Source organism: Homo sapiens, chromosome 6 (genome assembly GCF_000001405.40).
Source record: "Homo sapiens chromosome 6, GRCh38.p14 Primary Assembly".
Classification (NCBI taxonomy): domain Eukaryota; kingdom Metazoa; phylum Chordata; class Mammalia; order Primates; family Hominidae; genus Homo; species Homo sapiens.
Genome location: NC_000006.12, coordinates 14,600,127 through 14,626,712, shown reverse-complemented (window position 1 = coordinate 14,626,712; position 26,586 = coordinate 14,600,127). Strand labels below are relative to the sequence as shown.

Genomic DNA, 26,586 nt, shown 5'->3' with positions numbered 1-26,586 from the left:
GCAGAGATTGGGGTGATGCATCTCCAAGCCAAGGAATCATACGAGTCACTGGCTGCCAGTAGAAGCCAGAGACATGGACCAGAGTATCCTGCAGAACCCTCCAAAGGGGCCAGCCCTGCCTACATCTTGATTTTGGACTTTGAGCCTCCAGAACTGTGAGACACTCAATTTCTGTTCCTTTAGGCCAGTCAGTCTGTGTTACCTTCTTACAGCGACCCCAGGAAACGAACAAGAAACCAGTCCAAACTGCTTAGCATGATACTTAGGGTTCACTCTCCTGGCACACACACACACACACACACACACACACAGGCACACACATACACACACACACAAAACCACACCAGGCTATTTGTAATTCCACAAATAGGACTTGAAAAGTTATTTGTGGTAGGAAGAAATTATTTGATACCGATGATGACTGCTCCCAGAGTGCTAAGATCCTGGTGCCTGGGGCTCTTTTTGTTTGTGGGGCACCTGCACCCCAGAAGGCAGTGGGTGTGACAGAATGAGAGGACGCCCTAGAAAAGGAGGAGTGGAGTGGGCCTGGGAAATTCGCAGGGCTGGGGATTTGGGCCTTGCAGGCTGTGGAACCCAGGAAAAGAATAACCCGGGGTTGGTGCGCAAGGGACTTTGACAGAGGTGGGCAAAGTGTTGAGGGGGGATTTTTGGAGAGAAACGCTGCCTGCCATGTGATGTGGGTTGTCCCTGCTCTCTCTCTCTATCACTGGTAAAATCTTTGCCCCCTCCCTACTGGTGGCATTCATTCCCCTCCCTTCCGCCTTACCCCTCCCTTCTCCTTCTTCCTCTCCCCCCATTTTCTCTCCTCTCCCTTCTAATGGGTGGTAATGGAGTACCTGCTTGGGGACAGCTCGAGGTGAAATCAGAGGCTGGGTTATCTGAGTGATCCAAGCCCACACTCACATTCCCTAGTTCATGCTGTTCCTCTCTTTTCCCTTGTTCATGCTGTTTTCTACACCTGGGATGCTCCTCTCTTTTCTGCCCAAAATCCCCCTTGTCTTTCAAGTGTCCTCACTTTTGTGAAGACTTCTGTAACCCCTCCCCTTTCCCTACTCTTAGTCAGAATTACAATGAACGCTGCCTCTGAAATCCCCTAGAGCTTCTCAAATCTTTCTATGGCACCCCTCAAAGAAGAGTAAGCTTGGGTCATCATTTATCTTTACCAGCCCTCCACCCACCCTCGCACTAAGCCCAGAGGCCAGCACATAGTGGGTCCTCAGTGATGGGTGGGTGTGGGACCAGTGAGTGAACAAAGGGAGGGGCTGTGGGGTGCAGAGCCAGAAAGGGAGGGGCGCTATGAGCCAACAAGGAAAGGAGATAAAAATGAGGAGTGGGGAAGGAGAGAGGAGTTCAATCAGGCCCTTCCTTTAAGCGCCCCTCAGAGAAGTCGAATTTGCATCATTAAAACCCAAATAACCAGGGGATGAATGGTGAGCGAAGCAGGAGATAGAATTGTGGAGATGGAAAGGAAACAGAGCCAAGGACAGGAGAGGAAAGGGGCTTAAAAACAGTCTTGCGCTAGAATTTTTTAAAAAGCGGCCGGGTGCAGTGGCTCACGCCTGTAATCCCAGCACTTTGGGAGGCCAAGGCAGGAGGATCACAAGGTCAGGAGTTCGAGACCAGCCTGGTCAACATGGTGAAACCCCCATCTTTACTACAAATACAAAAAATTAGCCTGGTGTAGTGGCGGGCGCCCCTAATCCCAGCTACCTGGGAGGCTGAGGCAGGAGAATCACTTGAACCTGGGAGATGGAGGTTGCAGTGAGCCGAGATTGTGCGATTATACTCCAGCCTGGGCAACAGTGCGAGACTCTGTCTTAAAAAAAAAAAAAAAGACAAAGATGGAGGTGGGACAAATACGGCAGGAAGAAGAAGGAGTGAGAAGGAGTGCAGGAGGGACGCTGAGATTTGAGTTAAGAAAAGGTGTTGGGTTATGGTGGGACTGGGACAAACAAAATCCACAGCCTCACTCCACATAAGGCAGGTGGAGAACTGGCCGTGCACCGAAGCTCTGGAGCCGTTTTTGTGGAGAGGGAGGAAACGATGGATAATAATATGCTGTAGAGATAAATTAGTAATACTAAGCTACCTCACTGGGATGTTATGAGTGTTAATTAATTATTGTTTGCAAAGCACTTTGAAGGTGGAAAGGCTCTATAATTATTATGAATAAAATGTCAGAGATAATCATCTGGCAGAATGCAATGACCTCGTCAGCATCTCATTTGCATGGCATGAAGCAGAGCATTGGTTCTAGGATTCTCTGTCAAAGGGGGAGACCTGCCGGGGCCGACAGATACCCGTCTCCATGCCCTGCCTTCTCCTGCTTCCCACCGCATCTCTCTGGCAGCCCCAAAGCTACGGCCTCCGCTCCCTCGGCGGCGAGTTCACGAGCTACCGTGTAAGGTGATATTTTTATGAGTCAGAAAGCTACATATGCAATAAGCTGGTGGCCGGATGACTTTACGATGGGTAGCATTCTAATGTCACAGGCCCGAGGAACACTCTTCACACTGAGCAGCTTTTGGTTTGGCAAGCTGTCTTGTTTCAGAGGAGATTAAGAACATGGTGGTCTGGGGCTGCCCTTCCAGAATGGGAAGGGCGTAGGCTTTGCAGGCAGGGAGAAGAGGGACTTTATCTGGGAAGAGGTCAGGTGCCTGCAATGTGCCAGCTCAGGGTTTGGAGGGAAGGGCAATGAACAGACCACAGTGCTGGCTCCTGAAGCTGACATGCTAAATATGGGAAATGGACAATAAACAAACACCTCTGCATCTCTATATGTAATGTGTCCGGTGGCAGTAAAGGCAAAGAAGAAAAACATAACAGAGGAAGGCAAATGGAGGGTGAGGGGAAAAGCTGTATAAGTTGGGTATGTAGGACACCCATACTAGGTGTACCCACTGGTGTGAGGTCTGCGAGGTGTTCATCCGGGAGGAAAGATGTTTGAGGACAGTTACCTTCAGCCAGTGTTCCCCAACTTGGTTTAGATGACGAGGCAAAAGAACTGTGTGGAGTATTGACCAACCCTTGCCCTTGTATTAGAAAAGCAAAACAACCCTGCCAACCAATTCCCCTTCAAGCCAATATGGAAGAGAGAATGTTCTTTTAATATTAGATAGGCATGGTCCGAATTACATGCACGTAAAGGAACACAAAAGCAACTATCAAGTGTGGACAGGATTTCACATGCATTTATACCCAAAAGACAAAACATTGAAAACTTCTTTTATCTCCTTGAGAGACAAGAGGACTCACTTTATTTTTTGTCTCATGTATTCCCTGTGAGAGATCTCGCAGCTAGTTCTAGAGGTAAGCGTTGACAGTTCCAAGGGTCAGAAAGCCAAGGACCTTGTGTTGTAAAATAAACCGTTGAGCCTTTTTATCAGGCCTAGTGTGTTCACAAGGAGACATCCTAGCTAGGGGAGGGTGGGTAGGCAGAGGCCTCCTTCCTCAAAGAAAACATTTCCCCCTTACACTCCTGATGATAGTTATTAATCTTTTTAAACCTCAGCTGAATTAAGTGCTGGAATCGTGCTGTTACTGCTGAGACACCCATTCCTGTATAAACAACTGGCTACTGACTCCAATACTGTGATCTTAGAAAAAACAACACCAGCTTCAGGCCAGCTTTTTTTGTTAAGTGTGGATTTGGAGCAGTGATTCTAAAACCTCAGAATCCCTTGGAGGACTTCTGATAACACAGATCTCAGGGCTGCCCTATCCTCTCTCGAGATTCTGACTCAGTAGGTCCGGAGTGGGGCCTGAGAATGTGCATTTCCAACAACTTCCAAAGTGATGCAGTTGCTGCTGGACCAGGGACCACACTTTGAAAACCACTAAATATGAGCAAGTGAACCTGTTTTGGAGAGAGGGACTGGGGAGAAGGTAGTGGATAAAGATGAGACGAGACAGATGTGGAGGGGAGGTGAAGAGCATGGCATCCAATACAGAGAGCTCAGGGTTATGGACTGATGAGATGCACCAAGCTGTTGGGGACACAGTGTGGCTGGGAGCTCCAGAATGGGGGTTATCCTCAGTCAGGACTGCCACTCCCCGCTCTGGGTGTGGGCTACACTCCCTCTCCCTTCATAGTGCCCACCCTCGAGGAGAAGCACCTTCAAGGATGCACGCTCCTGCCTCTGGGAATGTCAAAAGATAGTTGGCAGGAAGTGCCTGGCACAGAGGCGGGGGCTCAGTTGTTATTGATAATTAGGAGCTCAACAGGAACTCGAACCCAAAAATTGTCCTCAGAGTGCCGAGGTATTTATTTGCACAGAGAGTTTGCCAAGTTCCTTCTGACTTCTCTTTCCCTTGCCATCCCCCACAGTGGCTGGGAACCCTGCAAGTCAACGGCTTTGAACTGGGACTTCAAAGAGAAGCCGAGCTCTGTTCTTCAAACAGGTTTATAAAGAGATTTTGATACAAGACAACAATACTTGTCAGCAGTGCCCAGTTATCGTCCTTCCCTTTGTAGTTTTATTAGGAAATAATTTCCCGGCTGGTGAGGCTCCTGCTGGCACGCCTTGTTTCTCTACTTGCGACTGGATCTGCCCACCGGAGGGGCTGCCCCTCGCACTGCAGCAGTTTTGCCAGCTGGGGTCCCGAGAAAGACGTCACCAAAGGGTCTCCTGGCAGCCAATTTACCATCTGCCCCCCCGCCCCCGCCTCCTCTCGCCCTTTGTAGCAAAAATGCAATTTGTTTGACCTCTGGGGTGGTTTAAAATCCCAGCTTCTCAAGTGCCCCCCGATTACTATTTTTTTTTTTTTAAGAAGGAAGAGAAAGAGGAAACTGACCAGAAAAGAAAAGAATAATTTAAGCCTCCCTTTCTATCATGTCCTGCATTTTGGGTTGGCAACAGATTTCCCAATAGATGAAAACTAAAGAGCCCAGTTCCTTTGGGAATCAAGCAGGAGCATTTGGAGCCTGCATTTAAGCCTAGGCAGGGTGTGGCTTCCCAGAAGTGACTGTTTCTTCCTCTTTCCCCGGTGCTGTTTCTTTCCCGATATTTTGGCACACAGGGCATTGAGTCTACTGTGTGTGGAGCACCGTGGCAGGTTCTGAGCAAGACAGAAATGACGGACACCAGGTCCCTCTGGTCATGTGTCTCTGCATGGGTGTGGTGAGCTGGGGGGACAAGCACGCTCCACAGGGGCTCTGCACAGAGGCCTCTGCTCACAGCAGAGGAAGGGACCCTGGGCTTTGGGGGCACAGCTGTCCAGAGCCATGCACCAGACCTGCTGGAGGTGGCTCTTGATCCTCAGCTGAGGGAGAGCCAATGGTCAGGGAGGGTGTGCTGTGGTGGTGGTTTTAGGATGGGGCCCCTGGGATGCACTTCCACACTAGAAAAGGGTGCAGACAGAGAGGGAGGGTGGAGTTGTGGGTGGGAGAAAATAATGGGTGGATTCTGATCCTGGGAGAGGTAGCACAGAATAGAATTGGGGCAGAAGGGGGCACCTAGCCCCAGAAAAACCTACATTTCACTTCCTTTTTATGAAATTGGGAAAGAATTGTGAGAGAAGGTGCTGATTGTTTAGGGGGTTAGGGAGCAGAGAATGTGGGCACGGTCACGTTTTCTGCCCTTTGTTCTCACTGGGAAATAGGAATTAAGGGTATCTGCTGGCCAGGGGAGGGGTTTTAGGAAGTTACAGGCAGAAGCATCTTAGAGATTATTTAGTTCAAAGCCTTCATTTTAGCCAGTGAGGTTCAGAGAGATGGAGGCATTTCCCAAGGTAACACGTTGATGAGTGGGGGAGCAGGGACTTGAACCCACGTCTGCTGCATCCCAGGTCAGAGGCCACTGCTTTGCAGGGGGCTTGCTGCCTTCCTGAGGGTGCAGCCCTGTTCTGAGTCCACTGGGAGGCTGGAGGAGCCGTGGCAGCTGGACGAGGCCTTCTGGGATTCTTTGCCACCTCAGTGATGAGGCTGGCTCTAATGCCCTCCCTCAGCTGAGAGGAGAGAGGTCAGTGCAGAGGGGAACCTGCTGCAGTCACGGGTCACCCAGGGTCACGTCAGGCCTCTGCACAATGCACAGAGCTCCAGGCGTGCAGGAGGCACAGAGCTGATGCCATTCCTCGGACTCCGAAGAAGTTTGCTGACCGGGTATTACTCACCTTCTCCTCAATAATTTCCTACTGTTGCCAGAGGAAATAGTCAATGCTTTCCCCAAGAAACTGCAGCATAGAAAGCAGTCTCAGAACTTGTAGTTTCTGAGGAGAAATGTGCAAGACCACAGGAATAGCAGAGACCTGCTGGTTCCTGCCCAGGATCTATGCCCATGTTATTATACCCATTGGACAGATGGGGAAACCTAAACAGAAAAATCAGTGATTTCCAAAGCTTCACCCAAAGGCAGTAAGAAAACTCATAGCTTAATGTTGCTGCATTTCTTCCTGAATCTTCCTCCTGCCGATTACTTTATATTTCCATGGAGTGTAAAGCCTTGACGGAGACAGACAGATTGAAGATGAACGATGAGCCCTTTTCCATGGGATCTGGCCAGAGTGGACTCAACCCTAGCCATGGACATCATTTTTTGAGGCAACCATTTAAAAAAAAAAATTAAGCTATCATGGAATAGAATCACAAAAGTTGTAAGATATTTTACATATTTGAATTTAGGGAATGGCAAACTATGGCTTGCAGGCCAAATGTGTTACAGCCTGTTTTTGTACAGCCTGTGAGCTAAGAATGGTTTTTATATTTTAAAAGGACTTTTTTTTTAAAAAAAAAAAAAAAGGAAAAACAATATTCTACAGAGGTTGTGTGCAGCCCATAAAACCTCATATGTTAACTAACTAGCCCTTTATAGAAAAAGTTTGCTGATCCCTGATAACATATAGTGCTTTTATTACAAAAGATACAACTGTGGAATTGAATTATTCACAAGATAAGCATAAAATGTATTAAAAATATTCATTTGTTGTATGAGTGGTCGTATGAGCTTATAATAAAATATAAATCCCAAGTCGTTTGGCCAGCTGCTGTTCATCCCAGTCACATCAGCTAACCTCTTGATCTTCACTTGAACGTAGGTCAGAAGTGAGCCTTGGAGGTCTCTGTGACCTTGAGGCTTGGCCGTGCAGTCCTCCTGGCACCCAGCCCAGGTAACATGCTCTGGGTTTCCTTTGAGCTGGAGAGGAAAGTGCAGGGCCTGCTACCCCGGTGTGGCATCTTAGTTTGCCTGGCCTGCATCATGGAGGTCATTCATGGTGGGATGAGGGAAGCCCGGTCCTTCTGCATTCTTGGGGCAGCTCAAGCACCGAATGTAGCAGAGGTGGCCAGGGCTGTTGGGGGCGTGACTAATTGATACCCTGGCTCTCTGTCCAATATATGCAACCAAAGCCTCGTGATGTCTGTTGTACATTCACAGAAGGGCTGTGTCAATCTGGTCAGGGATAGCTGTGTTCGGAACTGCCACACCCACTGCACAGAGGGCGCCAATGTGCTTTGGGGTCTCCCCATGAAGACGGGCGGCCAAATGAAGTAACACCTTGTGGCACAGCAGCTGGCCAGGAGGAGCCTGGCACAAACACGCTGCACTGGGACAGGATCTGGTCGCCAAGTCAGGGAGGGTGCACACCTAACTCTGCTCTACTCAGAGCCAGAAAGGCAGAGCAGTGGAGATGAAAGGAGGAGGATGGCCAGTCACAGAGAATGGGGTTAAAACCCTGCCTCTGCCATTGATTAGTCACGTGGTGTCTGGAATGGTCAGTTTCTTCACCTGTGAGACAAAGATAACGATAGGACCCACCCCTTGGAGTCACTGGGAGGTTGAGAAGAGATACTGGATGCAAAGACATTGGGCAAGAAGGCAAAAGCAAAAGTCACCAAGTCTTCTCTCTTTTCCATCCTGTGAATGGTGGGCTTAATTCTGCATAAATGCTTCACTTAAGGTCTAAGGGGAGTCACCAATGAGGAGAAAGAAAGAGAGAGAGAGAGACAGAGAGGGACAGACAGAGGGGCAGAGGGTGCACATTTTGGAATGCAGAAATGGTACAGAAAAGAAAAATGCTAGAGGGAGAAATTGTAACTAAACCAAAATTAAGCAGCACTTCTTAAACCGTAAGCATCATAGAGAAACAGAGCCAGCAGGCACCTCAGTGATCGCACAGTCCAACTTATCTTTAGACCTTCGCAAAGGAAAGGAGGCAGACAGCCTGTGCTCAAATCCCAACTTTGCCATTTACTTTGGGCAAGTAGTTGCAGTTTCCTAAGCCTCAACTCCCTTGTTGGTGTGAACATTAATTGTTGGCTTCAGGATCACGCTGTGAGTGAAGTTGAAGGCTGGTGCCTCCAGGTGCCAGGAGTCACTATAAATTGGGAGACCAGGGCATGTGTCTCCATCCGTGTCCCCCATAATCCAGGTTTAGACTTAATAGTGCCCAGAGGAGGCCTGAACAGGCTTTTCTTTGTGCGGGGCAATAGACTTTCGGAGACTGAATTCCATTAAATGACGCCAGCAACAATTCAGAGCTTCCATCCTACATCACTTAAGTCAAACCTGTGCAGCTCATTTCCTGTTTCTCTTATGGGTTGCTTTTCCTTGCTTTTGGTTGGGGAAAAGTTAGTTTTGAAAACACCCCTTGTAATAGGTGTTGCAAAACACTTGAGCATCGATATGAGCCTATTAAATTCTAATAGCTCTGTTGGCAGGTAAAATGCGCATATAGATTTGAAAAGTGCTCATGCCATTTGCCTTTTGGACTGCTGGGGCCATTCTGAAGAGATTACATGGTTAAGGTCAAGGAGTTTGGAGGGGTAGAGTTGGTCTCTCCAATTCATTTCCCCTCAGGTTGTTTTCCTAGGCAATTATACATTGCAGGATGGTTCATCTGACTAGCAAGAAGCTAGTCTTCCTAAACATCTATTGTTCCTCTTCAACCAAGAATATCTATTTTTTCTTTGTCAACACCACTAAGGGATTATGCCACCTCTCAGCTTTTCCTATTCTAACTTTGTTCAAATAGTTTAATTCTAAAAGCTGCTGATTCCAAGGAAAAAAAAAATCTACCGAGAAATCCTACAGTGTGGGATTCTGGTACTAACCAAATAAGGCTATTTGATTGTGTAAGTAAATACCCCAGGCCCAAAAGTTTTTGCTAAGGGAGAAAGATCTGAAATAGAAGACAGGCTGAAGTAAGGTCTAGCTTTTTGGGAGACGGAGAGAATGTGCTGGGGGAAAAAAAATCCCTTGCAGGGGATTCTGGGTTAGACAGAAGAGAGAAAGGAGTAACGAGATCATCAGTGCTCACTGTTACCTATGATATTTAGCAGAAAGATCCTCTAGGGTGAAGTACTGGAACCAATGCATTCCAGAGCCAGATGTGAAACAGAAAATGTTGGGACTTAGGGAACTGCATCCTAGGAGACTCCTTAAAATGTGTCATCTCATATTTTGGCTTATGGTGAGGCAGCAAGGGCTGAACTGTCCTAATAGCCATTTAAGTTTTCAACATGATGTAGAGTCAAAAAATGATGTCAGAACTTCAGAAAATGTGTTTAGACTAGACTCTTTTACCTTGTGGGAATTCAGTTGAAAGAATCACTAATTTTTTCATATGGCTACTGTCATTGATTTACAAAGAATTCTTCTTGCAGGCATACATAAAATACAGGAAACCCCATAATTAAATACCTACTCTGACCACAAAGTCAGACTGTCTTAAGCTATCTCCTTCATGCACATGCACATAGAAAGAAAGATCCATCTCTGAGCATCCATTGAAAACTTGCAGATTTTTTTCTTTACCCCTTCCTAGAATTGCTGTCAAATTAAGCTCCACTTCAGAAGACAAGCAACAGTGGGAGAAACTCTGAGTCAACGGCTTTAACTTTGGCAGCGTTCTTCACTGATTCGTGAAGTAGGCTAGCAACCTCGTTTCCCCTTTTAACCCACGTCCCATGCCACGTGTGTCTGGAACAAAAGAAATTTTAATATGGACAGCATGAACGAATGGAGGTGGGGTGTTCCTTCCTGACTCCACTCCTAGGAGTTAAGCTGCAAACACTGTCACCTTCGTGCATTTGATTCCGAGGCTTATAAAGATTCTAGACTATGAGATGAAATGGGGCCAGTTCAGCTGCCTGAATGGGCTCTTCCATAGATGGCAGAGGGGCAAGCTCTTGCAGACTGGAAAAGCTTCCTAAGAATTGCTTATGCTATACTAGCGCCACCCCCAACAAGTCCATTCAGCAGGCATCCCATCCCCCAAACCTGGATGTGGAGGGCTGAGTAATGGCACCCAAAGATATTTGCATGTGAACCCTTGGAACCTGCAAACGTTACCTTGTATAGCAAAATGAATTTTGAAGATATGATTACATCAAGAACTCTGAAAGGGGAGCATTATCCTGGATTATCTGGGTGGGCCCTAAAAGTAACCACAAGTATACTTATAATAGGGAGGCACAGAGCCATTTGACTACAGAAGAGGAGAAGTCAATTGGATGATGGTAGCAGACATTACAGTGATGCGGCCACAAGCCAAGCAATGCTGGCAGCCACTGGAAGCTTGAAGAGGCAGGAATGGATGTTCCCCTGGAGCCTCCAGAAGGATTCAGCCCTATCGACATGTTGATTTTAGCCTCATAAGATTCCTTACAGACTTCCAGCTCCAAGAACTGCTGGAGAATAAAGTTCTGTTGTTTGAAGTCACTGACTTTATGGTAATTTGTTACAACCGTAATAGAAAATGAATACATTCTTCTTTTCAGATTTGCTAAAGAATGACGGAATGCGTCCCTCTGGTTCTCACTGGGCTGCTATTGGGACACTAAGGGATACCTGCATAGCCACACCTGCCTGCCTCATGTAGAATACTCTGGCACTGAGTTCTTAGGGAGATAAATGCACGTTTTCCCAATCTGTCCACTCAGCCTGTTTCTCAGAGCTGAGCTCTTCTGAGAACTTTGGCGGGGTGAGAAGCTGACCTCAAGAGTTGCCACAGTACCTCCCTTTTCCTTTTGCAGTTACTTTTTGCTTCTTCCCCACTTCCACAGTCACTCCCCAGTCATTCCCCAAAATAGCCTGGTTCTGTGTCTCATTCACTGAGAGGCTGGCGCCATTAGCTAACTGAAGCAAGAGATCTGTGTAGTTGAGTCAAGTTTACTCTCCCCTCTTCTCACCTGGCAAGCTTCTTTCTCATCTTGTTAACCATGTATTTTTAACACTTGCCTCTCAGAGAAGGTGTTATCCTCCTTTCTTGACAGAGTCATTGAATTTCCAGTTCAGAAGGACCTTTATTAAACACATTAATTCCAACTCCAGTAAAGTAATTAACGTGGGGCTTGGGCAGTCGGGAGAGGTAGTAATGGGGCTAAGGGACCCACAGTTGTAATACCACCCCAGGTAATTCTGAGACACATGGCCTGTGGGCTGCTCTTGGAGAAACAATGGCAAGATTGCTAAGTCAAAAGAGGGGAAGCAAGCAGTGGGGACCTTCATTTTTTGGAACAAATTCTACTTGAAGCCACTGTCGTGTCCCTTTCTTCTTGTTCCTACAGAAGTAGAAAACAGTCCCTGGAAGATTGTCCTTCCAATGGCCATGGGCTAATCCGTGTGCTTTGGCACGTTCTGGGCAGATTCGTGGCTGAGTTTTGTTAAACCTGGGACCCGTAGGAAACCCTGGACATTCGTTGCACTTGGGCAAAGCTAAATTGCAAGAGCACTTCATTGAGATGCTGAGCTATCTGGGAAAGGAGCAAGCAGTCAGGCGAACCAGAAAGACCCATTTAACCAACTTGGAAGATGGGCATTTTTGATGAGAGCATTAACCTTCTCTTGGCTGGCTGTCATTTCCAAATGACAGCAGCGTGCCTGGCATTTCCATGAACTCTTTCATCTCTAAGAGAAGAAGGGGAAGCAAGGGTCACATCTAAGATATTAAAAGCAGGAAGGAAACCTTTGAGCAATTTGGTACCCTTTGGCCTGTGGATTTTTTTCTCCCACTGAGGTGGTGCATATTTAAAAAGCATAACCTAGGAGATGTTTTGAAAGAACAAGTTCAAAAACTGGCTTAGACCTGCTTTTAGAATGTTAGAAATTGCCTGCCCTTGTGGATGGTCAGGACATAAATTCTTCTGGGAGTTGGGCCCTGACAGGATTCTTTTGGTTGCAAGAGACAGAAAGCCAAGTTTGTATTTTCTTAATTAAAAAACAGGAGCTACAGGTCTCAGGTATCTGAACTGTCTCATTACAGATGAGGCTTCAGGCACAATTGAATACAGAGGCTGAATGATATAATTGAGGATTTAGTCAGTCTCTCTCTCTTCCCTGTGTGGATTTAATTTCTATTCAGGCTTTCCCTTTCTGCTTACAAGAAGGCTGCCCTCAACTGGGGAAGACACATTTTCAAGTTCAAATCCAGTCCCTGTGAGAATCTACAGGCTTCCATGACTGCTAATGTGAAAGTCTAGGAATTAGATGCTCTTGGTCATAACTGGCCTAATTTCTCATCTCCAGGACAATTATGTGGAGGGGGTATTGACCCATGCCTCTGAAATTTTAATGTGCATATGAATCATCTGGGAATTTTATTAAAAGCCAGATCCTGACTCTCTGGAAGTCTCAGGTGGGACTCAAGATTCTGCATTTCTAACAAGCTCCCAGGTGAGGCAAAGCCTGCTGGTCCAAGGAACATCTCTTGAGTAGCAAGGATATAGACTGGGCATGTTGGTTTAATCTAGGAGGTATTTTCCATCTCCATAAACTGAGGATAGTCTCAGCTTCAACTGAGGACATGAGCTGAGATTTGGGATAGTTAGTGGGGAGTGTGTCCCCTCAAAGAAAGATGTAATACTGTCTCCACCCAAAAGACAATTTGTATTCTGATGGCAAAAACAGCATATTTCCACCGTGGGCACTCTGGGCTTTTTTGGTGAACTGTAATACAAAACATCAGCCAGTGATGTCTGGGGTTGTACGAATTGTATCTGTGCCTCAGTAGTACCCCTTGCAGCAATGAAAGAAATGATCTTTAGATGAAAGACGAAAAGATAAATACTCTTTAAGCATTTGCACAAGCTTATTATCATTACTATTAATTATTAATTGAGGAAGGACTAACACGAGCTTGATGTGGGTAGAGATTTTGTTTAAGCACCAGCCCAGAGAGGCCTGGAAAGGAAACCAAAGGAAAAGCATGAATTATAAATACAGATCCTGCCATAGGAAGATGATGGAAGCACAGGCGCCTGGAATGGAGAAGGGGTCTCAAGGCTGCAGGCTCCGGAACTGTCACATGGAGTTAATGTGCACCTCAGGAACTGGTCCGCAGTGGCGTGGTAATGTTCATTAGGGGGCCAGCATCCAGCCTGCTGGAGAAAGACAATCAGTGCGAGAGCAGGACCACAACTTTGAGGATCTTTGAAGGAACTTACATTTCTTTTGACACGCATTATGTAGGGAGAAAACAAAAATCAAAGGCCTAGAGTTTTGTATTTTATTTAATTGCTTTGAAGATCACGGTAAACAGATAGTTAGACCTAGGGTATTCTATAATTAGTCGGTAAATTGTGACAACATGAGCTGGTATTCTGGAAAGCATGTATTTGGAATGTGGCAGATAAAGGAATGAGTTGCATAATTTAGGTATTTGAATATTGAAATGTAATAAACAATAGTAATAATAACCATAATAATCCCAGAGTGACAAGGACCTTGCAAGTTATAGAATGTTCTGGTTAGGTTACCAGATGGAGAACTGTAATTAGACTCATTTTTTTGGTAATTTAAGAAATGAAGGCAGCATCATTTTTGGCCTCTCACCACCTTCCCTTTATTTCTCAGCATCTCGATGCCTTCTGGCTGTAGCAAAAAATTTCTCTCTTTTTCTCTGTCTCTGTCTCTCTTTCTCCTTCTTCTCACACCCCTATTTTTATCTCTCCTGGAGCCTGAGCCGTTAGTGTTTTGCTGCTGGGAATCCTGGCACTGTGCATGTTCCTTACATGTTTCTTACACTGAGTGAGCCCTGTGCCATCTCTCTTGAATCTTCTTGGTGGGGGATGTCAAGACATTAGCTACAGCAGAATGAGTCGTCAAGGAAGTTTCTAAAGCTGTAGATACGTTTTTGCAGTGATCCTCTTCTATCCCTACACGTATCCTGGTTTCCATAGTAGAACAGTTAAGTCAGGGTAATTTTTTTTTTCTTGCTTGAATTCAGCCAGCTAGGTGGTTCTGGAGTCTTTCCTCTACAAGTTCTGAGTGCCTAGAGATCTGAGCTCTAGAAGACCACCCCCTCCCACCCTCCTCAGGCTGCTACCCTCTGACTTCCTTCAGCAGAGACGTTTCCTGCCTCTCCTAGCATCTGCGAATACAAATTCTCTCTTTATGGATGTTCTACCCACTTTCTCCTCCCCTTTTATCGTGTATCTTCAAGGACCCAATTCTGCCCAGAATTAAGTCCAGCAGGAGCTATAGAATTAGACCAATTCCCTACATTCCATTCGGAGTGACAAGTTAACAGGAAACAGAACAACCACGAGTCATCACGCTCTGTGGTACTCAGTCCAAGTGCAACTGGTCTTGAAAAATAGTGGGGAGAAATGTGGTCCCAGGGACTTGAGAAGAAATACCCATTTTGTGGTATGACACCCTCACATCCTGATTTTTGCTCGTCATGGCGTTTAGCACTGGTTGACAACTGCTTTCATCTGGGATTTCCGTTGTTAGATGGCACACTTTCCCAGGCACAAACTGTGCCTGCCTCTTTTGCCTGTGCATTCCAGAGCCAAGTACAGTGCTTGGCTGATGTAGGTGCTCAAAGCTCATATATTGAATCGATTTATTAATGCATATTTTGGAGGCAGGGGTATAAGAACAAGGAGAGTGCACCCTTCCACTTTTAGAGTAGCAATCCATTAAAATGAGACTTCTTGGAAAATAGCAAATTTTTAATCTGTTCAGTGTCTAGAAATTAAAACTAAAAAAAAAAAAAAGGGTGATGGTACCTGGAAATAATAAAACACTAAAGGATCCTAAAATTCTACACAAAACATTTAAATTACATAGTTTTGTTTTTCTTAAGTAAATTTCTTACTGAAATACACCAAATAGATAAAAGTGCACAAATCATGTGTGTACTTCTTGAGGAATTTTCACAAAGAAAACAAATTGGGAGACTACTCCCAGACCAAGAAACAGAAGCCTGCCAGTATGCCAAAAGCCCCCGGGGGTACCCTCCCCTTACTTCCCCTACAAAGATAACTCTTCCTAACTCCTATTGCTCTAGATCAGTTTTGCCTGTTTTTGACTGTTATATAAATGGAATCATGCAATATATTCTTTTGTGTTTGTTTTCTTTTTATTCATGGTATTACATTTAACAATAGTTCATTCCTTTACATTGCTGTATAGTGTTCCATTGTATGAATATGCTACCATTTGTCTATCTAATTGTTGATGGCATTTGTTTCCTTTCCAGTTTTTGCCTATTAAGAATCATGCTACTGTGATCATTCTTGAATGTCTTTGAGTGTCCATACATTGACTATATACTCAGGAATATAAATGCTAGGCTAAAGGCTATGTTTATTTTCAGCTTTAGTAGATACTGCCAATGTGTCAACTGGTTATACCCATTTACACATCTGCCAGCATTCAATGGAAGTTCCATTTTTCCTGTTTTCTGGCCAAAAATTTGGAATTGTTATTATTTTAACTTAACCATCCCAGGAAGCATGCAGTGAAATCTTGTGCTTTTGATGAGCTCACTTGATGACCAGGGGCAAACACATTTTCATATGCCTGTTGGCCATTTGGGTGTCCTCTTTTATAATGTGCCTATTCATGCTTCTGTATATCATTTTGGCATGTAGTATTTATTAATTTTTTTAAGACAGTTGGAAGGATAAATTTTCAACTTTAGGAGAGACTTTAGACCTTATGACGGTAGCTTTCCTACTTAAATAAATTTTTTTTTTTTTTTTTGAGACAGAGTCTTGCTCTGTTGCCCAGGCTGGAGTGCCATGGTGCAATCTTAGCTCACTGTAACCTCCGCCTCGCAGTTTCAAGCAGTTATCCTGCCTCAGCCTCCTGAGTAGCTGGGACTATAGGTGCATGCTGCCACGCCTGACTAATTTTTTTATTTTAGTAGAGACAGGGTTTCACCGTGTTGCCCAGGCTGGTCACAAACTCCTGAGCTCAGGCAATCCGTCTGCCTTGGCCTCCCGAAGTGCTGGGATCACAGGCGTGAGCCACCATGCTGGGCCAGTAAATGTTCTTTTATATCACCAGAGTCCTTTCTTCAGATGGAATCTTAGGCAGAGGACTAACATGCAAAGTAGGTTAAAGCAGAGAAGTTCTCACAGAAGGAAGGATGAAGAGCTCAGATCCTTTCCCATCTGTGACCCCTTGTGCGTTCCACTGAACCTTGAAACCACTGTCTTATGGCAAAGGTAGTTTTTAAGAACCAAGGTAACCAGTGAGCCAATAAAAACCCTCACAGATACTTTAAAAAACCTGCTAGCATGAAACAATAAAGATAACAGCAGAAATAAGAATATGAAAGGCGTTTTTACAACTTGAATGGGTTATAATGAGCATTATACTATTAATTTCCATTTATGCTTTCTTGCTCAATGGAGACTTTTCATGATCTCCTTTCCCATAATCTCAAGATGCTTTCAAATTTGTTTTGATTCATTGAGCGAAATATGCACACCAAGAGGCTGTGTGTGTGTGTGTGTGTGTGTGTATTCACATGCGCCTTTCATCCAAATGTTCAATGCTTTTCTGATTTTATAACTTAGATGTGTCCTGAATCCTGCCTTAGTCCATTGACACAAAAGTACTTGGATATTTCAAATGGAAAAATTATGTGGTGAGCTTTATTTAACCCAGTTAGGTAGGCACTTTTTGTTTCTGATGCTAGAGTCCAATGCTCATCACTCTCAGGAATATTTTACTAGCCCTTCTCCACCCACCCACCTCCCTGACTCTACAGAGCCGTTCAGGGCTCTAGCTTCCTTCTCTTCCTTTCCCTTTATCTCTCCCAGAGCTTCAAGCCCACACCTCTCTTTCTTTGCTGCCATCTGCTTTACCTCTCTTTCCTTTTTTCTAATCCCCAGTTTCCTTTTTTCTAATTATCCCCAATGGGAGTGACTTGCAACCTGTAGATATATGAACCTAAAAGATACATGGAAGCAAATTTGCATACAGTGGAATATGGCAAAGTGAAGGAGTTCAAGGCAGGCAGAGATTGTGGTAGGCTTTCCAAAAGTGGGCAGTCAATGGTGGTCCCTGAAACGATTTTAGGTAGTACACTTGATGAAAAGTTTTGTTTCTGTTTTTGTTTTGTTTGTTTTTTGAGATAGGGTCTCACTCTCCCAGGCTGGAGTGCAGCAGCACGATCATAGATCACTGCAGCCTTGAACTCCTGGGCTCAAGCGATCCTCCCATCTCAGCCTCCCGAGTCGCTGGGACTACAGGCACCACCACCATGCCTGGCTAAATACTTTTTTTTTGTAGAGACAGGGTCTCATTTGCCCAGGTCTTTTTGCCCAGGCTGGTCTTGAACTTCTGGCCTCAAGCAGTCTTCTCACCTCGGCCTCCCAAAGTGCTGGGATTAGAGGCATAAGCCACTATGACCAGCTGTTGAAAATGTTTTTAAAGATTTAAATAGTTATATATTCACTTTAGAGATATTAATACATTTCTTCTATTTGTGGTAAGATATATTTGTTTTCAGATGGATAAAAGGTTCTTTTAAATATTTAAGTTTAGAAAATGACTGTACTTCTCTGGAAAAACTTGTGAATTAGTGATGTTTGGAAAATACTGGCTGGTTCATGCTCATTAAATCAGAACGTTTTATTAGAGGACTGTGTTCTCCGATCAAGTCTTCATAAGCAAAATGAGTAAATAGTATATCAAATCCTGCCTCCTCAGTATAACGAGTGTTAGAATTTATATATATATGTAAGAGTTTATAACTGATTATACTTCCCCCAGGAGTCTCTACGACCCACTTTCAATGAGTCCATGAAGTTAAACTATTTTCGTAATACTATTATTAAGATGTTACTTGCTGTTTTCCCAGTATGTTGTTGACATTTGCACTGCTGATGCAAAAGCAATGGGGGGTAAAATGCCGGCATCTTAGGATGAGTCCAGGCAGTGGCCCTGGGCTGTGCGAGTGGTCATTGTATACTTCACTACACTCCAGAGAAGTGAAAAGCCAGGGTTCCCTATAAATGACCTTGATAAAGCAGTACAACTGATTAACTTTATAAAATCTCAACAGTTTACTGTTTGTCATATTCTGTGTAATCTTTATAAAATCTCAACACTTTACTCTTTGTCATATTCTGTGTAATCAAATGGGAAATATAAATAAACATTCTGCTGTGTACCAGTATACGATGATTGTTTCAAGGATGACACTCACTCGTTGTGTGTGTGTGTGTGTGTGTGTGTGTTTGCTTATTTATTTATTAGAGATGAGGTCTCACTTTGTTGCCTAGGCTGAAATGCAGTGGCACAATCATAGCTTACTGCAGCCCCGAACTCGTGGGCTGAAGTGATCCTCTTACCTCAGCCTCCAGAATATCTCTTGGACTATAGATGTGCACCACCACACCCAGCCGCAAAGACTCATTTTGAGTTGAACTACCCACTTTTGTTCATGGAACACTGTTTTTATTTGAAAGAACAACTGGCAGACAAACTATAGTTATTTTGACTTGGGTGTTTTGCTGATATGTTCTCCAAAATGAACGTAATGGGCCTGTTACTTCAAGAAAAATATTGACTATTTATAGCCAATGATAAAATTTAGGCTTTCAAGTGAAAATTAGGATTTTGGAAAACTTGTATTCTCCACCTTGAACTTGACTATTTTCCACTACATAAAGACGCATGATGAGATTGGTTGTAATATTTGCAAATGTGATTTCTTGATAGTTTGTAACAAAATATGCCAACATTTGGAAGATTTTAGAATTTCAGTGAATTATTTCTTTTCTTCAAATGGCCAATGCATGATGTTACAAAATCACACATCAGCAAATGATCCATTTAAAATGTAAGATAGACCAGTGAAATTTAATGTAGTAGAATGTAAAAAGAAAAGTCATTGTTGATGGTTTCAGATTCCACATTTTATAAGTTTTAAGAAACTATAACTACACCAAGTTTTGGTGTAGCATCAAAAAAATATACAATTACAGGAAAAGGCTTTTAAAATACTTCTGCTTTTCACAGTGATACGTCTATGTGACTGTATGAGGCCAGATTTTCTTCATCTAATTCCACCAAAACAACATCTTATAAAGTTTGGGTGCAGAAACAGATATGAGAATCCAGCTGTCTTCTATTAAGCCAGACATTAGAGATTTCTAAAAATGTAAAACACTGCCACTGTTGCTAATTTCTTTGTTTTTAAAAAAAGTTTTTATTTTGCATGAAAATGTTTGTGTTAGTATATAATGAGGTTGTTATTTTTAAAAAATATAAATATTTTAAACATTCTTCAGTTTTTATTTTTAACACAGATACATCAATAGATATAGCCTACATAAAAATAAGTCTTTGAAGGTCTTTGATGATTTTTAAGAGTGTAAAGGGGGCCCTGAAACCAAAAATTATGAGAAACAATGTTCTACAAGACAGATTCTTGTCCTGTTGGTCAGAACACTCCATTTCTCATTAGGTGACCATGGTCTAAGATTTGCGAGTGTGTGTGTGTGTGTGTGTGTTTGATGGGGGCATGTGATAGCATAGGATCTTTTCATCATATATATATAGTGACTGTGTGAAGGGGAAAGTTAACTCTAGCTTCAGTCACAGAGCGGTATCTAGTGACCTGTTTTGTGAAAATATACCTAGAAGACTTTTTGGGTGAAACTGATGGTTGAGACAGGAACAAATAATACAAATGTTGATTCAGAAGTTTAACGATACGATAAAAGATATGGGTCCTCTTCCTTTTCAAAATGTATTTGGGTAGACAGCCTCTATAGTGGGCCCTGCCTCCTGAGATTCATACCTCCGTGTCATCTCCTTCCCTTGAGTGTGGGTGGGGCCTAGTAATGGCTTCTGATCAATAGAATACAGCAAAAGAGATGGGATGTCCCTGCTGAGATTCCATTACAAAAGGACTGTGGCATCTGTCTTGTTTCTTGGCTCCTTCTGGGGAAAGCCAGCTGCCACACTGTGAGCTGCCTAGGGAGACGCACATGTGGCAAGGAACCAGTAGGTCCCCAGCTAACAACCTTTGAGAAACTGAATCCTGCCAGCAGCTGCACGAAGGAGCTCAACACTGGGTTTTCCTTCAGCAGAGCTTTCGGATGTGACACAAGTCCCTGACGGACACCTTGATTGCTCCTTGTAAGAGGCAGAGGCATCAGGGGAGCCACACCTGGATTTCTGGCCCGCAGAAACTGTGAAATAATAAACGTTGATTGTTTTAAGCTGCTAAATTATAGGGTGATTCGTTACACAGCTATTGATAGCTAATATACATACACATGGATTTTCATGTAAAACTTGCATATAATTTCAAGAGACGTTGAGACATCCCTGAAGCCCATTAATGGACAATCTGTGCATCTCATTAACTCATTTATGCCTAGTGTTCCATTAGTGGAACGCTAAGCGTGTGGGAGTCATTTATATCCTACTGCTCAAGGTCATTGCCGAGGTCTGATTTTTCACACAAAAAATTTGCAACCTCCAGCATAAATGGGTTAATTACCCCTGCTCGAGGAATACCTTAAAAGAAAAGGCAGCAAAGACAGAAAATAAGAACAGCAGAGTGAGGAATGGAAGGGAAAATCCAGACAGTACATTTAGACCAGGGGAGAGAAGCAAGGACCCAGTGCCTTAATGAAAAGAAAAGTTCACAAGAGCATTCTAAGGGGTTTGATCCCTGCAAATGGCAGCTAAATAGGTGAGGAAAACACTTTTATCATGAAATAAAATTGGGTGGATATGTTTCCAAGAGAAGAAAAGATCTATATTCTGTAGGGATTTAGGTATGTAGGAATAACATTTTCAACTCAGCTTTGTGGGTGGGCAAAGTGTTGAGTAACAATTTAAAGGAGACTAAAGGTGGATCTGTCGACTAAAACATAAGCATGTGTTAGAAATTTTGTGTTTAAATTACAAAAGTTCTAGTATTGGCCTATGTAATTTTCAAGTCTAGAGCTTGAGTTGGCTTCAGACATGGCTGGATCCAGGGATTTAGATGATGTCATTAGGTCTCATCCTCGACTGATCTTTTTGGCTGACCTTCAGATGGCCAAGGTTGGGTAGGGGGAGAGAACTCCAGGCTTCATAAAGCCAGATAGTGATGCTCAGAGAAAAAGATTACCTTCCTCTCAGTGTCCACATATAAAATTTAGGGAAGATCTCTGCTGGCCGTTCTTGGGGGGCCATTTTCTCCTTAGGTACCCCAGCAATACAAGGATTGACGGATAATTATCCAAAGGAAAAAGAGGTGCTGTTCTCAGACAAGGAGAAATGATGTTGGGCAGATAAGATGACATGTGTCTCCCGTAGTGAGTGACAATAACTAGGGGCTGGGAAGCTTATTTAATATTTAAAGTTATGCCAACCTAATTCAATAACTTGAGACTTAACACAGCTGTGCAGTGTTTGTGTATCAGCAGTCCCTCATTACAGGAAATTTGGGTCGTATATATGAATTGGCTTGGGATGATGGAGTCTAATGAAGAGAGAGTCATGACAGGGACAACACTGGACAAGGTGTTTCAGAATAAAACCATGAATTCAGAGGTTTAGATTTTATGGAAAAATTCAACCATTTCTGCTTCCTGTGCATCAGCATCTGTTGTTTTTCTTCTGGAACACAAAGTGACTTGCAGAGCCCATATCCATTTGAATAATGTGGGAACAACCACTGTAGCAAGGGCTTAGCTGCCAGGTCGTCTCTGACGTGGCTTGGTAACATTTCTACCACTCTAGAATTTCTGGAAGAGGCCATAGCTTATCGGGGGTCTCCTAGTATTTTCAGAATTGAGAGTTAATTCCTGATAATTCCACACATGGAAAGAGATGATACAGTTATTCAAATTTAATATAAAGACTTATCATTAACTAAATTAAGAATCATTGTGAAAAAATGACAATTCATTTGAGACCATCAGTAATGTAGAAGTTGGCAGGCGAACGCTTTGTGGTGGGCCGTCTTTCTTGCCAATTTGCATGCAAAGAAGTGTCACAGTGGGGTTTGGTTGGGGATAGGAAAATGCTAAATAATACCATGATAAATAATTGACATATCATCTAAATTTTGTAAAGTTTTTCAAATTTGATTTGGAATTTGATTTCAAATCATTATGACTTGCAGACACTATAAATGTTAGAAGCCAATTTAAAAAATTATGTTGTACTGAAATTGCTTGTTTTAAGAAGTAAAAATACTGTTTTTAATTAGAAAGACATGGTCTCAATTGTATTTTATGCCCCTGTTCTAAGGCCAGTCTCTTACGTAAGCTTCTTTTTTTGTTTGTTTGTTTGACACAGAGTTTTACTCTTGTTGACCAGGCTGGAGTGCAGTTGTGAGACCTGGGCTCACTGCAACCTCTGCCTCCCGAGTTCAAGCGATTCCCCTGTCTCAGCTTCCCAAGTAGCTGGAATTACAGGTGCTCGCCACCATGCCCAGCTATTTTTGTATTTTTAGTAGAGACAGGGCTTCACCATGTTAGCCAGTCTGTTCTTGAACTCCCGACCTCAGATGATCCACCTGCCTTGGCCTCCCAAGGTTCTCGGATTACAGGCATGAGCCACCACACCTAGCCTTAGGTAAGCTTCTGATAGTTCACTGCTGGCCCTTTTTATGGGTACACTGCCTTTTGGTGGCGAAGATGCTTTGCAGGGACATGGCACTTTTATTAGTCCTCTTCAGACTTGAATTAAGCAGAAGCTCGTGGTGTATTTCTGATCCAAACTCAAGGAATCTAACTGAAGTGCTTCCCACTTGATATGTGTATCTTGAGAATCATATCAGATATTAATAACATCCCTTGCTTAAAAGGTTTGTAAGCTGTGCCCTTCTTCCAACATCTGTGTTCCATACTCCACTTTTGTATTTTCCCCAATGGTCTACCCATAGCTTTTAGTTCTTAGAATAAATATTTGGGAAACCTGTCATATTTATGTTCTCTTCCCTGCCTTACATTTTCCATGCATGGATATCCCCAAAATTTTGAAAGGAAGAAGTACAAGAGATAAATTTTTTTCAATAACCACACTCTTCAAAGCCAGAAATTATAGGAGAGATGTACTTGTCTGTCCTTGCACTGCTATCAAGAAATACCTGAGGTTGGGTAATTTATAAAGAAAAGAGGTTTAATTGGCTCATGGTTCTGTAGGCTGTACAAGAAGCATGGCTGGGGAGGCCTCAGGAAACTTATAATCATGGCAGAAGGCAAAGGGGAAGCCAGCACGTCCTACATGGCTGGAGCAGGAGGAAGAGAGAGAAGGGGGAGATGCTACATACTTTTAAACAACAAGTTCTCCTGAGAACTCACTACTATCATGAGAACAGCAAGGGGGAAATTTGCCCCCATTATCCAATCACCTCCCACCAGTCCCCTCTTCCAACAATGGGGATTTACACTTAGACGTGAGATTTGGGTGGGGACACAAATCAAAACCATATCAAGAAATATGCTCTGGCTCCTCTGAACTATTCCTCTGATTTCTGGAAATTACTTTCTTGGAGATTCTATCCGATATTGACTTTTGGGAAGGAAGGTAAAGAAACATTTACATGTCCCCAAAAATATCTTCTCAGTGACTTTTCTGTTGATTCATTGTGGCTCAATTATGAGCTATTGAATAAACTCTGTGCCCCCAAAGTGCCAGGTGCCGAGGGTACAAAGATGCAGAAGATGCAGTTCCTGCTTTCTAGAACATCATAATATATAAAATCAGAATTAAGGGAAGAGGCCAAGAGAACCAGCATCTACTGGCTGTGTGGTTGCAGAGAGACATTCTCCCAAGTGCTCTCATATGTATTACCTCCTATCAATTTCAGAACCACCTATGACCTTTGGCATTACTGTCCTCATCTTGGAGGCTCAGAGATATTAAACACGCATCCAAATCATACAACTAGGATGTTGTGAATCAGGATTCAAGTCAAGATTTGATCCCATGCTTATTTTTCCTATATTATGTGACTCTTTCCTCCAGTACTGTTCAGTATCCTATAATTCAATCTTAGGAACTGCATTTCTGTTTCACTGCTAACAGTGGTTGGAAGAACATGCTTCTTTAGAGCCTAAAAACTGACCAGTTCTTGGAGGCTGTGAATCTCAACTCTCATATGAACTTCTGGGAATGGAATTCATTGAAAGCTTACTATTTCTGAAGGAAAATTATAATGATAGCACGAACACATGTTGTGGCTTTTAGCAAAATATCTTTTTAAAGGAGATTATGGGGACCTCGAAAGAGCTTATTGGGCAAAAAAAAATAGGTTTTTACAAGGTAACATTCAGAAGCATTAAGGAATCAGGAATTAAGGACATAGGTGTTTGAAAATATTTCTAACACGTTCCATAAATCTTAAATCACATCTGGATTTGCCCGGCATTATCAACAGACTCTTTATTCAAGCTCAGTTTATCCAATAGATTTTGTCAAATTAAAGAACTCAATCACATGCTATAGAATTAACATTATAGCAACTATCCCTAAATTTAGTAGGCGAACACTGATCTAGTACAGTATTTCAAAGTGTTCCTATAAGGCAGTGTTTGACTTGAATACAGATTAATCAGTGATTTGTGTTAGTAAACACAAACCTAACATTCATTATTTAAACACACAGGAATAATTGTATGAATACAAGTACGTAGCATGATGGGCAATTGGGCTATTACATGAATAATATATTAGTTAGCATTTAGTTTTATTTATCGTTCAGGCCTGGGGTGCTGGTCTGCCTCTCTGGGTCCAGCCTGCAGCTGGCACAGAGCCACAGCTGCCACAGAGTCAATGAAAAGGGTGTCAAGGCTGCAGGATGGAGCCTGTGTTTGTTTAAGAAGGAGCCTGATGACATCACGTCGGCCTCCTGCTCCAGAAGGCTCAGGAGCTGTGAAACGGCACAGCCTCCTAGCCCAGTTGTTGCAGACCTCCGGCAGGGATTTCTGTCTTCAGGTCAGGTTTCAAGGTGAACCAGGTTGGAACATTCAAGGAGAGACTTGGGACATTATAGATTTTTATACTGCCCGAATTGGCTGATTAGCCCCATACGTGGTATTTGATTAATGTCTGAGAGCTCTAATTAGCAATGTCTAATAGGCTCCACATACACCGGGATATCGATTCTTGCCTCCACAAAACTAATCTAATTGTGCTCCTTATCATTAGCAAGTGGTTGGTGTACGGAGATGATGAACCCACCTGGATACTGGAAAAGCCGCCCCGTTAAGGCAGCTTTGGAAAAGGGTAGAGCGGTTTCTGGAGGTAGGTCCAGAAGTGACCTTCCAAAGGCATCAGGAAAAGCACCACGTTTTAGCTCCTCAAGCCTGTTTGGCTTTTCTGAGGGGGAAGAGCCACAGATATCCAGAAGAAGTTTTTCTTTTTAACTTTCCCAGAAGGGGAAAATAGGCATAGGAATCCAATACATCATTTGGACCAGAGAGAAGAAAAAGGAAAACAAAGTTTGCCGACATCTCTTGTCTTCTGGAGCGCTTCTCTGATCATCTGTGCCCACCTTCCTGCTACACTCAAAGGATGGCATTTACACTATGTGATGAAGACGCCTCCACTACTCCCTTTGGTGGCTCCTTGTTTTTCAGGGATTGTAATGCAAAATATACTCCTCCCCCACAAAAGTAATAATATTAATAATATTGGCATAACACTAAAAAATAAACACAAAGATAATATACCTCGACTTACGTGGATTTTTATTTTCTGTGGTAACAACTGCAAACTCATGCTTTTGTTATAAATAAAGTTTCGGTGCTACAAAAGAAATAGCACTTGAATATAAAATTTTCTTTTTAATTCTCAGCAAGGCAAGTTACTTCTATAGAAGGGTGCGCTCTTACAGATGGAGCAATGGTGAGCACACACTTGGATAAAGGAGAGGAAGGGTTTCTTATCCCTGATGCAATTGACCTCTGCTTCTGTGTCGTTCCCCTATTGGCTAGGGTTAGACCACACAGGCTAAACTAATTCCGATTGACTAATTTAAAGAGAGTGACGGGGTGAGTGGTTTGGCGGGAAAAACGGTTATGACACAGCAGGTAATCAGAATGAGTCAGGGTGGAGCAGGTAATCGAAAAAGGTTGCTTTATGAGGAAGTTAAGTTTAAAAGTAGAAGGCAAAGAATTGAACATACTGACATAATGATTCTTGAAAAGAAATTTAGAACTTTAACACGTTCATGGCACTCTGAAGTCAAAAGCACCATCTGGTAAAGATGGTCTCCTTCATTTCTCTACCCATAGTACTAGTCTTAATTTTTCTGAAAATACTAAAATCTAAAATTTGATCACCTGGAAATTTTCCTGGGAGAAACCCAAATGGGTTCATGCTTTCAGCCACAGGGGAAGAATCCTCCATAGCCCTGTCTGCTTAGTGCCAC

General features: G+C 43.3%; 1 long non-coding RNA gene across 4 annotated transcripts in view, besides 1 other annotated feature; it reads left to right on the top strand.

The window, feature by feature from the left end:
• LOC101928354 (uncharacterized) overlaps nucleotides 1-26,586 on the top strand; it is a 131,186-nt gene that overhangs the window by 90,777 nt on the left and 13,823 nt on the right. The gene's annotated exons all lie outside the window — the stretch shown is intronic.
• Nucleotides 921-1,215: a silencer, noted in NCBI's record as "tiled region #399; HepG2 Repressive non-DNase unmatched - State 22:ReprW". NCBI's record gives its function as "represses a minimal TATA promoter and a strong SV40 promoter by Sharpr-MPRA in HepG2 cells {active_cell/tissue: HepG2}" and the evidence as "EXISTENCE:reporter gene assay evidence [ECO:0000049][PMID:27701403]".